Here is a 12809-nt window from a genome sequence, read left to right on the forward strand (position 1 = left end):
CCAAGGCGCCCCTCCTGCCTGCTGAGCTCCAGCCTCTTTCCTCCAGGAAGAACGCTTGGCCGGCAGGTCCCTGCTCAGATGCAGTGCCTGGGACGTGCCTCCTGGATGCCCCCACGACAGTAGCTGCAGCACTGTCTAGGGGGGCTCCCGCTGCAGGTCCCAGTGATGCCTGGCACAGGTGCTCAATGAAAGTTTGCCAAACTCAGGGGCAGGGGGAGCCAGGAGCGCTTTCAGCTGCCAATGGGCGACACAGCTAGAGCATCCAGGCTTAGGGTAGCCCCACTGCTGCAAAGGTCCCAGCTCAGTGTCCCACCAAACTCCCACACCCTACCTCACTGGTGGTCTCAGAAGTCCAGGTCAGGCACTGCCATACCTCCACCCCAGCCCCCAAGGGGCCGGAGCTCAGCCTGCAGTGGCCTTCCCTCATCCTTGTAGGTGGCACCAGCTGCAGGCTTGGGAAGCCGCCCCACCCTGCCCACACCAAGTCAGGGCAGGCCTGGGTGCCCCACAGAACACAGTGAGGTGGCACTGGGTGGCCTCTGAGGTCAGATCACACGTGTCTTGCTCTCCTGGGTAGCTCCTTGTGGGGGAGGCCAGCCCCAGCACTGGGAGGACACCCAAGCATCCCTACAGAGGGGCGTCTTGAGGAAGACTCTGAAGCAGCAGCTAATAACCTGCATGGCCTGGCCAGCTGGGACAGTGAGAGGGTTCCGAAGGGGATCCCCCAGCCGCAGTCGGGCCCTTGCATGTCTGGAACCCTGGCCATCTGACTGCATCTCATGAGACCCCAGCCAGAGAACCGCCCCGCCCAGCCACTCAGAACTCTTGACCACAGACGCGGAGAGAGAGCAGGTTTTACAGGCACAACTAATACACAAATGAAAATGTCACCATCACAGTAGCGTGGCTGCATTAACGAAACTAGGGGAAGGAGGGAAATGAAAATGACTTTCCCAGCTCCTGCACGCCAATCCCCCGAGTCCTGGCCTCCCTCAAGCCCTGCTTCCTCTTCGCATCAGGGGCGTGGCTGCTTACGCTGGTTCCCTCGATAGCAGAGCCTGAGATAGGGACATTGGTGCAGGTGGTTTATTTGTGATGACCAGGTGAGGGAGCCAACACAGGTGTGTTATGGAGGTCTCAGCTGGTTTCAGGACCTCCTGAGAAGTGTGCCGGACACCTGAGGAAGGTCCTTCTGCAGATGGGAGGCAGGTGTATCCGCCAGAGCCCTGCCACACTGCGGAGGGCTGGCCCTCCTCTGCCCTTCAGGGCTTGGTACACACGGAAGGCAGGCACTGAGGAGGAGGGTCCAAGCTCGCTCAGAATGGGCCACTGCCACTGAAATCAGGGAACAGAGGGGACGTGAAGTGGCCCAGAGAGCATCGTTCCGCACACTTACTCTCTTCCTAGATGTATACTCCTGCACCCCGCTCCTGTTTACCTAACTAACCACTGAACAACAAGCTCTTTTTTATTTTGTTTGACGCTCAGGGCTTGAGGAGGATTCAAAAGGACAGTCATAAAGACATCTACTTCTGCGCAGGCAGAAGCAACGCAGCACTTGACAGCCACCATCTTGTGGGTCTTCCCAAGAGCCCTGTGAGGTTGGAGCTATTACTATGACATTTATAGATGGGGAAACTGAGGCCAGGAGAGGTCAAAGTGTGCAGCCCAGTGATGGGGGCTCAAGAGCTGCTGCTGGTGCCATTAGCCCACCCATGCCCTCCGTGGCTGGATCTAGGTCCCCCAGCCTGGGCCCCTCCTGTAGGGCCCTGCTGGGCTGGAGGAGGCTTTCCAGAAATCCACTTAACGCTGACCTCGTCTTTGTCCTCCTTGGAGCTAATCTGCTAATCCTGCCAGCCCCAGTGGGCCTCACCACTGTCTAGATCGTCCTGCATGGTTGGCATCCCTCTCCAACAATCCCCCACCTGCGGGGGCCTCCTCCTGGCCATGCCTCCAGGGCTGGGCAGGTCCAGTGACTGGGGTAGGTGGAGCTGGGATTCTTTCTGTGGAACATTCCTCAATCCTGGGGGAGATTCTGGAGTCTGGAATTCAGGAGACTGGGCCTGGCTTCTGACCCCACCTTTTCACGGCTCAGCCATCATCTCTGAGGCCCCGTTTTCTCCTCTGTAAAACACGATCACTTTGAGCTCTCTTCCGGCTATGAAATCCCAGGATTCTCCCCAAGCCTGTTCATGCCCGGCCCATTCCACTCACAGCAGTTGGACAGCTCTGGTTTCACCGTGCCTGGGTTTGAATCTTGATTCTGCTTTCGCTTAGCTTCTGCTTCCTAATCTGCAAAATGGGGGTGTCAGGGATTCCTCTGCAGGGCTCAGTGTGGACTTGGTGGGTGGGTGTAAGTCCCTGGCATGTGGTCAGCACTCGGTGAATGTCTGAGAACTGAAATGAATCCAGCATGGAGGAGCCTCCTCCTTTGCTCCCGACTCCCTGCAGGATGGTAAGAGCGTGGGGAGGAAGGAGGCTCCAGCCTCTCGGGAGCCCACTCACCCCAGCAAATTTGGGTGGCTGGGATAGAAACCTCTCTGAGATTTTGGGCAGGAGAGGAGGAAAATAGCATGAAACAGGCAGGGGGTGTTGGTGCTGCTCAGGCTAGATGAAGCCAAACATTTATTTATTAATGCTTTTTTTTTTTTTATCTTTTTTGAGACAGGCTCTCGCTCTTTCACTTAGGCTGGGGTGCTGGCGGGATCAGGGCTTACTCTAGCCTTGTCCTCTTAGGCTCAGGTGATCCTCCCACCTCAATCTCCAAGCTGGGACTATAGGAGCATGCCACCATGACTGGCTAATTTTTTATTTTTTGTAGAGATAGGGTCCCACTATGTTACCTAGGCTGGTCTTGAATTCCTAGGCTCAAGTGATCCTCCCGCCTCAGCCTCCCAAATTGCTGGGATTATAGTGTGAGTCACTGTGCCCGGCCTTAAGCTAAACATTTAAAAAATAAGAATTAAAATGCAGCCACAGTGAAACGGGAAGGGGCTGCTTTTACAGGTGCTGAACTTCCCGGCAATAGAAGCATTTAATGGGAGGTTCCCTTTTTCCTAGGACCTCAAAGCTGGAGTACCAGGGATGTTGCCTTGACCTTCCCATGTGTGGATTTCTGCTTGAACACACCAAGTACAGGACACCCTGTTTAGCAGCTAAACGTGGGAATTGCACCAGCTTTACTCCCAACTTGCTGGGCAATCTTCGGGAGTTGCTGACCTTCTCTGTGTCTCATCAGCAAAACAGGGAGAACACTAGCTCTCCCAACATGGGCTGTGTGAGGACCAAATGAGCTGAGGAGCCCAGATTTGAACCCGGGTCTGCAAGGTTATGTCCTCTGAGCCATCCCCACCCCTGCCCTTAAGGACCAGGGGCCTCTGGACACCATCAGCTTGCCCACCTGTCCAGGATTTGCACGCACCTGCTCGGTGCCAGATGCTGGGCACTGGGGACAAACCAGGTGAGGTGTGGACCGTGACCTGTGTTGTCACTGATTGGGGGACTTTCTGGCAGAGTGGAGAGTGCAGTGGGCTGAGAGACAGGATGGCCAGTGGAGACTGAGCTCTCAGAGGCGGCGGCAGCTGATGGGGACCATGCAATGGGAAGGATGGAGGCCCTGGGATAGTCTGCGGTGAACTTCCAGGCAGAAGGAACAGCAGGTGCAAAGGCCTTTAGCTGGGAAGGAAACTCTGGGTTGGAGGAATAGCTTGCAGGCGCTCTGAGAGAGGCTGGCAGCCAGGTGGCAGGGAGGCAGCCCAGTCAGGTGGTCTTGGGACAGTTTAGGGTCTCTGGCCTTCACCAGTGAGGTGGTGTCTGGAGACTTTTGCAGACGAAGGCAGCTCTCACTCCCATCTTCCCGGGGTCCCTCTGGCTGCTGAGGGTGGATGGGTGGAAAAGCATCTTTCAGGGAAGTGGAGGCAGGGCTGGAGCAGTTGAACATCTGACTGGGCCAAGGGTCCAGGGACTGGCATGGAACAGGGCTGGGTGGGTGAGGCCGCCTGGGAGACCCCAGCTTGCCTCTGTTTCCCCCTGTACTGGGGCCTCCTGCGTGAACCAGCACTGGTTTTTCCAGTAACTGGAGCCACAAGCCTCCCTAGGAACGGCTGACCCATAAGAGGACGTCCTCAAGGTCCCCAAGGGCTAGAGGCTGAGATGCCGCCTTCGCCTGGGCGGGCCTCGCAGCCTGGAGGCAGGCGGTGGTGCAGCTCGGGCAGGCCCCGTCCACACGCCTCCCCGCTCTTCTGAGCACCACGCGTCCCGTGGGCTCCCTACCCGTCCTGATAACACGGCGGTCCGGGGGCCTCGAAGCCGGTCTGACCCCAAGTACCCGGGCCAGGCGGCTGCCGTCTTGTCGCCCCAGCCCATCCCCTCAGCCAGCCCGCCTGGCGGCACGGGACCTAGCCCCAGTCGACTTAGGGGGAAACTGAGAACTCCAGAAGTTTCGTGAACTCCCTGGCTTCGTCCGCATCCCGCCCTCTGCCTCTTCGCTCGGGCTTCAAAACTGCCCCTCCGACGCCCGCCTGCCCCAGGCCGACCTGGCCTAGGCGCCCGGCAGGCACAGGAGCCAAGGTCAGTCCCCGAGGCCGCCCGCGCGACCGGAGCCGCCTCCTCCCAGCCCAGGGGCGGCCTCGGGGGCGGCGGGCGCGCGGCCGCGGCGTGGGGAGCGCTCCCATTGGGCCGTGCCCCCACGTGACCCAGCGGGTCCGGCGCGCGCCCTAAGCCGGTGGAGCCGCGGCCGCGCCTGTGCGCGAGGGCGCGCGCGTCCCGAGCCCTCCACCCGTCGTGCCGGCGCCGCCCGGACCGCCAGGTCAGTCTCCTCCGCGCCCGCTCGGGGCGGGGGCGCGCGGCGCTTTGTGGAGGCGCGTGGGGGGCCGTCCGCGCGCGAGCCCGCCGCCCGCTCCGGGCACGGCTTCGGGGCCGCGCAGCCGGGAGGGCCGCCGCCTTCCCCCTGCCCGCGCGTCCCGGGACCCTGCGCCTGGCGGCCGATCCGGCGGGAACGTGGGCCTGGAGGCTGCCACGTGCCGGGGCCGAGCCTCAGGAGGCCGCTGTTTCCCCAGGCGAGCCACAGAACACCCCTGGCTGGAAGGGGGTGACCCGCTCCCGTTTCTGGGTGCGCGGGAGACCTCCTACCCTGAGTTCATCCTGCGCAGGGTCCCGCCCAGGATCTGGCTCTGCCCCCATTCACGGCTCATTTTCCTCAGCTGCACAGTTTGGGGGGCTGGAACCCCACAGCCTTCCGTGCCTCCAGGGCGGGTCGTAGATGTCAGTGGAGGTCAGGGGAAAGCAGAGCGTCAGGTCTCAGGCCGGGTGGAGTCCGCCTCAGACCATACCAGTGTTGGGACTCGGGCGGCGCCTCAGCCCTCCAAGCACACCCCGGTAGAATCAGGTCAGCAGCCTTGATCCACGTGCCTCAGGGATTAAACGGGTGACTCCTGACACGCCCCTGGGCAGCTGGTGGCCCAGGGGTGGGGTGGTGGCATGCTTAGCTCCAAGTGGGCAGAGCAGTTTCACCCTGCCGGTTCCCGGAGGGAAGCCCTTTATGAGGGAGGCTTCCCTGGCCCTCTGTGATAGCGGCTCCAAGGGCAGCGTGAGGTCCAGGCTAGCTGGTCACAGTGTGTGCCCGGGCACCCTCAGCCAAGACAGAAAGGCACGTGCTGCACCCCCTCTCTCTGCCTGCGGGCTCTGGGGTGTGCCCCGCACACGATGGTGGGTGTTGGGCATCCACCTAGTCTGTGGACCCTGGGGGCCCTGCTCCCAGGTTGGAGCAGTGTCCTCGGCTGCAGACCAGAGGAGGTCACTGAACACAGGGTGCCTGTGGCCTTGCACAGACAGAAGCCGCCTGGCAGCCCTGTGCAGAGCCGTGCTTCACTGAGTTCCTGCAATCCTCCCAAGAAGTTCGTTAACCCCATTTCTCAGATGAGGAGACTGAGGCCCACAAAGGTGGAGTTGGTGCAGCCCCTAGCCTGCGGGGCTAAGCAGAGCCTTGTTGTCCCCATCTGCAAAGGGGGCGTTGGAGCTGCTGTAAATGGGCCCCGAACCTGTCACCTGAGTGGAATTAGGCATTGGGGATCTCCCCATCACCACGCCGGCCCCCCTCACTGTGGTTACGAAGGAGGAGAAGCTGCCCTGTGTAGGAATTCCTGGGCTGTTTCCAAATAGCCCCGCTAGGGAGCTGGTCACCCCTCAACACCCCCAACGTGTTCTCCAAGCACTTACTCTGTGCCAGGCCCAATGCTGGACCTGGAGATGGGGCATGGCTGGCTGGCTGAGCGGGGCAGGTTGCGGACAGGCCCCCGCAGGCAGTCGGCGTGATGGGAGAAAATGCAGGCGGGGATGAGATGCAGCCTCCAGGTGGTTTCCTCAGCTGCCTGCTCCTCTCTGCCTTTGCCCTCCTCCCGGAAGCTTGCGCTGACCACTGGAGTAAGGCTGGGGGCCTCAGCTGGTCCCCTCTCTGTCCCAAGTAACAGCCCAGAACATGGTGAGGGTGGCTGGCTGATGCAGTCAGGCACTGGACATGGGAGGCAGGAGGAAGGCCGGGAGGTGGGCAGCTTTCTCAGACAAGTGGGCAGTTTGGATGGCGAGGAGGTCTTGGAGGCACCATGGGTGGCTGGGCTCAAAGATGACATGAGGGCATGCTTAACAGATGCTTAACCAAATCCTGAATTGGCATTGGCCAATTTCTGTGGTGTAACTACTCCCAAGCTACACAGACGTGACTTTACTGGCTGAGGACTTGGGCAGAGGTGCACACAGTCAGACTGAGAGGGGGGCATAAGCTGGTGTGAGCCCTCCCTCTCACCGCCAGGGTGGGCAGAGTGTCCGCTGGTGCCCAATGCCTATGCACGTGACCTCCTTAGGGACTTACATCCAGATGGCGGTGATACAGCTTGGGGAGGCCTCTCCCTGGTTGGCAGGTCCTGGCGAAAGGGTGAGTTAAGTGGAAAGTGTACCAGGCTGGTGTCCAGGTGGCATTTGGCCAGAGGGGCTGAGCTGGGAGCTCCTGGGCCTGGGGCTGGCAGATAGTGGTGATTTTTCGCCCCCCAAGACCTTGGGCTTGCCTTGTTCCATGAAGGTCCCAAATCTGACCAAAGGCTGTAACCAGATGGTCACTGTCCCAGACCACCCCAGGGCGCTTTCTCACCTCGAGAGCACCGTTTCTCCCCACCTCCACCCTGGCCGCCCTTGCTGTCACCTACTCCCTCTGGTCCCTGGCACCCCTCCCTGCCTGCAGTGGTGTTTCCTAGCAAGTGCAGCAGCCCGAGGCTGGGCTAGAGGCAGGAGGGCCTGGCCTCCCAGTGTCTTGCTGGATACTTGGTTTCTTGCCCCTCCGTTTCCACACCTGTAAAATGGGAGCAATGACAGGTCTTCCTGGCAGGACAGTGGTGAAGCTTGGTCACACGGGTGAACATGTGTGAGGTAAAAAAGACTTCCCATCCCTCCTTCTGACCTGGACCGGCTCGCAGGACCCATAGGCAGGGACCTGGGCAAGGTCCGAGGGCCGATGAGCCCCGTCCTCTCTGCACAGTTCAGAGTTGGGTGGGAGTGGCTGTGGGCTGCAGGAGGAGGTACTGCACTTCGCACAGTTACGTGGTCGGGTTGGCATCGCCGCCGCCTGACTTCGGCGCCCCGCGAGTTGGGTGTGTGCGGTTGGGGGCGGCCCAGAGTGTGCCCCACGCCTGCCAGTCGGGTAGGCCAGCCTCCCTGGAGAGAGGGGGGCCTCCCCAAGGTGGGACGGGGACAGGGACGGGTGCTTCCTTCCACCCAGGAGCCTGAGCAGAGGGTGGAGGGTCCTGGCAGCTACCTACGGCAGCTGAGAGCTGCGCTCTTTAGCCGAGCGGGATCAGGGCTACGTGGACACAGCCCGTGCCAGTGTGGGTGGGGCACGAGCTGTGGGTTCCGATGGCCCAGTAGGCGTTCACCTGGCAGAGAGTGTGCGCGTGTCTCCCCTCCTTGGGGCGCCTCAGGTCAGGACCCTGAGAACCTCACTTATCCTTTGAGCTGCGCCAAGGCTGTTGTACAAAAGACAGTTCAGAAAATAAGGACAGGCTGTTCCTCCCAGCCAAGGGTGTGGCCCTAAGGACCCCTAGGTGGGGCATCGCTTCCCGCCAGGCACGTGCCACTCAGTCTTGGGCTGCTTTAGTGGCAGCCTCCTGGTTTGGAAGCGGAACTGAGGGTCAGGGATGACCACATGGCTCAGGGCTCAGCTGGGGTCCTGAGAGTGGGCCCTCAGGTTTACCTTCCTCCTGGAGGGGAACTGGGGGCCATTGCCCAGTGCACCCCCACTTCCCCTTAGGTGCGTGGGCCACCCCTCCCTCCTGCAGCCCCCGTTCATCTACCCAGGATAGGTGCATGGGCCACCCCTCCCTCCTGCAGCCCCCGTTCATCTACCTGGGGAAGGTGCGTGGGCCACCCCTCCCTCCTGCAGCCCCCGTTCATCTACCCGGGGTAGGTGCGTGGGCCACCCCTCCCTCCTGCAGCCCCCGTTCATCTACCCAGTGGGGATGTCCCCTGGCTCCTCTCCTGGCATCTTCCCGGGATGTAGGGGTGCTCCCATGCCCCCCGGCTCCTCTCCTGGTGTCTTCCCCAGATGTAGGGGTGCCCTCATGTCAGGGCTTATGCTTCTAGAAGGAGTGGAAATGCAGCACAGTCATTGCTGTTGCCTGCCAAGGGCCACCCTGGCTGGGGACAGATGGGGCTGCCTCCCCTCTCCCACCCTGTCCTGGCCACCTGCCCCCGCCAACCCTGCCACTGGCTCAGAGGAAGCAGGCCTAACCTGATGTGTAACCCCCACCCCTGCCGTGACTGTAACCCCGTGCCATGTGAAGGTGGGGCTCCTTGGCAGTGCCTGGTGATTGCGGTACAGCCAGAACCGGCCCCATTATCTGGGCTGTGGGTGCCATTGGTCAGGACCGTGATGGACTCATACGTAAAACTTGATGCATTTTAACTCCCTTCATCCTAGAGGATTGAGACCTCTGGCGGGTAAGTGTTCATATTACCGTCCTGCCCTAGAGCCAGGGAAGGACCCTAGGGGAGAAGTGACGTGCCAGGGTCACTGCTGGGAGGAGAGCAGGAATTTGAACGCTGGCCATGCCTCCTTTTTGGGGAAAGGTCAGTAAATGGGCAGGGGAGGGTGCTGGTCATTTGGGTGATGGTGCCAGTGGGGTGAGCAGCTCCAGGTCATCAGGTGGTATGGAATCTGGCCCCGGGCAGCCCGTCCAGCATTCCTCTCTCACCGAGCCCACAGCCCTGGAGCACCTACTGTGTGCCTGCTCTGGCCCACTGGGAACAGGACAGTCCCGAGCCCTGCCCCGAGGAGCTGGCGCCAAGTGGAGCAGCTGCACCACAGGCACACGGGGGACAAAGGGCACCGCTGATGATTTGGCCAGGAAGAGATGAGGTGGGGATGGGGGCTACAGGGTGGGGAGACGGTGGCCTCGGGAAGGGCTAGCTTGGCCACGCCAGCTTGGTCATGTCACCTTCTGAGTCTCAGTGTTCCCTTCTCACGTGGGACAAGACCACGCATAACCCGAGGGGCTGCATGTGTGGAGCCGACAAGCTGACGTGCGGGTCCTGAGTGCACTGAGCCCGCTGGGGTTCCAGACACAGTGGATGAACGATCCAGGGAAGGAAACAGCCTGGGCTGTGCTCTCTGGGACCTGCCCTTGAGCCAGGTACTCCTGTGGGAGGGTAGCCGGGCTGGCTGGGGGCCTGGAGCCCACAGCCTCTCCTCCCTTGCTGTTTTCCCGGCCAGGGAGGAAGCCAGGCTGGAAGACCCCAGAGGGCTAGGGGGATGAACACAGGTTGATCTGTGTTGAATTTGGCTCTAGCCACCTCCTCAGGGCCAGAGCGGCTCCTGGAGCCGGAGTGAGAGCTGTGTTACACGCAGGGAAGCCGGGGCTCGGGGAAGGTGGCTGCCAGGGTGTGCAGGGCTGTGCCAACCTCATCCTGGTGGGTCCCTGTGACAACAGGACAGGCTGCCTGCCCATTGTACAATGAGAGGCTGATGCTCTGTCACTTCATGAGGTCACACAGGCTCCAGGCAGTGGGGGGCTCTCTGAAGGAGGTCCCAGTGACCTGAATGGAGCCCCCGGGTGGGCTGAAACTTCTGCCTGTAAGGCCTGTCCTGGGTTGGGGTTGGGTGGGAGAGGGCAGGAGTCCTGCTGGGAAGGGCCTCTGCCATGCCCAGCTCCTACCACAAGTACAGAACAATGACAACTCCGCCACCTGGCTGCCCCACGCTGGGCACATGCTCCCCGCTGGCCTCAGTTGGGAGTCCAGTGAGTCAGGAGGTGAAGGTGGGGTGCACGTCCCCTGCAGACCCTCACAAGGCAGGTGGCGGGGCGGGTATTGGTCATGAGAACCCTGCCTTGGGGCCTGAGTGCCTCGGTGGCTGTGGAGCCTGGTTTCGACCTCTTTGGGACCAGTGTTCTTGTCCATAAAAGGCAGTGATCTTTCTGGATAGTTCAGAGAGATTCTGTTATCTTTGCCCATCAGAGCTGGAAGGGAGTTGAACAAAATGTTTTGCAGAAATTGGACCTGAGTTGGGCATTGCTCCTCCTGCTGCCCCTGGTTCTGAGGGCTTGGCACCACTAGCCCGCTCTCTGTCCAGGGTCGGCCCGGCTCCTGCCTTTATCATGTGTGAGCCTCGCTGTGTGTGGCTCAGTCCTGGACGGGCCGAGACCTGGATGCAGGACCCTGGACAGTCAGCGCAGGCGGAGCAGGGAGGGAGGCGTCTGCCTGAGGCCTGCTTGGAGGTGCCCAGGCTGGAGCCCTTGGCCCTGGAAGATGTGGTCAGGGCCCAGTGGTGTTGGGATGGCCAAGAAGAGGGCCCCTGTGCCTTCTGCCCAGGGCTTGGCCTAGCCAGTGCTCAGGGTTTATTTGCTGGATGAGGGGTGGAGTGGGCCAGTGGGGCCCAGGTCTCCTGCTAGGTGACCCTCAGAGGTGGGCATAACATCCCTTGGAGTCTCTGCTCTGCACTTGCCAATAAGAGGCTGGACCATTTGAGTGGTTATAAGTTGGGAAGCACTCCCTGATTGCTTGGTTCTGCTTGAGGCACAGCCTCCAACTCCCAGAGATTCCAGCACCCCTGCAGGAGCCAGCGTTGCTGATGTGGGCAGACGGGCGTCTGGGAACACCCCAGACTCAGCATACTAGGGTTCAAGTCCCTGACTCCCATCCTGGGGCATGGAGTGGCAGGAACCAGGGAATGTTCTAGAGTGAGGTGGTGAGGTGGAGCAGGGCCTGCGGGGATCAGATTTCCCTGGGGTGGGGTCCTGGAAATAGGGCATCAAGAGGAAGTCTCTAACCCTGGGAGTTGGAGGGTCTCGGGTCCATGGCTGAGGGTGGATGTGCTAGAACTGGACTCTGGAACCTGAAGACCCCCGGATGAGGGTGCTCAGGGCCTGGCTGGGGAGACTCTTGCCTTGTTCTCCCCAGTGTCCAGGCCTGGGCTGCCCAGGGGACACTTCAGTTGATGACGTCATTGTCCAGGAGGCTTTTCTCTTGGACCTCAGTTTCCCCTTCTGCAGGATGGGCTGGACCCACTCTGTCTAGCTCTACCACCCCCTAGTCCCTCTGGGGAGCTGCAGGAGCCTGTTCCCACGGCCTCGTCCTCACCCGCCACGGAGACCTCGAAGCCAGGCCTGGCCCAGCTAGAGGAGGTGACGGGTGGCCCTGCCCTGTCCCTGTCCCCATCTCAGTCCCCTTCCCACGGGACCGGTGCTCCCGGCTGCTCTCCTGGCCCTGGGTCCCTCCTGTGACTCAGGCTTCCTGGAAGAGGCTCGGGAGGGCTCGGAGGATTCCCCGCCACCCCACCCAGGGTTTCTGCCCGCCTGCCTCAGGTCCCTGTCACCACCCCTCCTGTGGCACACGGTGTGCTTTACCTGCTCATCCACTCCGCCCTTGCCCCTAGAGCCGGTGCCTCTTACTCCTGGCACCCCCACTCTGGCATCTTCTACTGATGCCTGGAACGCTGGCCCCCTCCTCTGGCTCGCCTGGTCCTGGGGCCCCTGCCAAGGCAAACATCTTCTCCTTTAATCTCCCCGTCCTGGGTCAGCCGCAGAGGCCCTTCCTCCCGGGCTTTGCTTCCCTCTGGCCAGCTGCCCAGAGGCCCATCTGCTGGGAATTGCCGTGTGGAGCTCAGGGGGTCCCTGGGGGTGCCCGGGGCTCCCGGCTGCCCCTCCCCTCGGTGGCCTCCCTGTCCCCTCCGCATGGCCCTGGGGAGCTACAAGGCCTGGCCCTGGCTCTGCCGACTCTCCCTGCTCCTGCCCTTTCTGGGCCTCCGTTTTTGTGTCTGGAGAATGGGGAGCCTGGGGGAGACCCCGGCCCCCACAGCAGATGGGTGGGATCAGGACAAAGGCCTGGCAGCTGAGCTCCAGCCACCTGAGCCAGGCTGCTTGCTTCTGAGTCGGTGACTGCAATGGATGGACGGGGTCCTGGTGGCATGCCCTTTACTCTCTTCCAGGCCTGTGACCTGGGGGAGGGCTGTCCATGGGTGCCTCAGTTTCCCTACCTGCCAGGTTGTGTTCTTGGGGCAGGCTGGGGACGTGCAATGGCAGCACTGCGGGACCCACAAGGAGCTCACATGGGGGAGAGGCGACATTTGAACAACGCTTCAAACATGTAGTTATTGTTTTCTCTTTTTTGAGACGGAGTCTCACCCTGTTGTCCAGGCTGGAATACAGTGGCACGATCTCAGCTCACTGCAAACCTCCGCTTCCCAGGCACAAGCGATTCTCCTGACTCAGCCTCCTGAGTAGCTGGGACCACAGGCATGCGCCACTATGCCCAGCTATTTTTTGTAGAGA

General features: G+C 61.2%; 1 protein-coding gene and 1 long non-coding RNA gene across 6 annotated transcripts in view, besides 1 other annotated feature; one reads left to right on the plus strand and one right to left on the minus strand.

Annotated features, from left to right (window-relative positions):
* Nucleotides 1-2590: 2590 nt before the first annotated feature.
* On the minus strand, nucleotides 2591-5344 carry ASTILCS (antisense transcript of PTP4A3, liver carcinoma survival associated). The gene is made up of 2 exons (NR_187488.1): nucleotides 5131-5344; nucleotides 2591-3874 (listed from the first exon to the last, which is right to left on the minus strand). It is a non-coding gene; the product is annotated as an antisense transcript of PTP4A3, liver carcinoma survival associated (long non-coding RNA).
* Nucleotides 3816-4436: an enhancer, noted in NCBI's record as "H3K27ac-H3K4me1 hESC enhancer chr8:142401193-142401813 (GRCh37/hg19 assembly coordinates)". NCBI's record gives its function as "activates a minimal SCP1, AML or CMV promoter by ChIP-STARR-seq in primed H9 embryonic stem cells {active_cell/tissue: H9 hESC(primed)}" and the evidence as "EXISTENCE:reporter gene assay evidence [ECO:0000049][PMID:30033119]".
* PTP4A3 (protein tyrosine phosphatase 4A3) overlaps nucleotides 4744-12809 on the plus strand; it is a 40434-nt gene continuing 32368 nt past the window's right edge. For all 5 annotated transcript variants that reach the window (NM_032611.3, NM_007079.4, NM_001438243.1 and 2 more), the window contains exon 1: nucleotides 4744-4807. The gene's annotated coding sequence lies outside the window, so the exon portion shown is untranslated. The remainder of the gene's footprint in view (nucleotides 4808-12809) is intronic.

The sequence above is a fragment of the Homo sapiens genome, chromosome 8, assembly GCF_000001405.40.
Source record: "Homo sapiens chromosome 8, GRCh38.p14 Primary Assembly".
Lineage (NCBI taxonomy): Eukaryota > Metazoa > Chordata > Mammalia > Primates > Hominidae > Homo > Homo sapiens.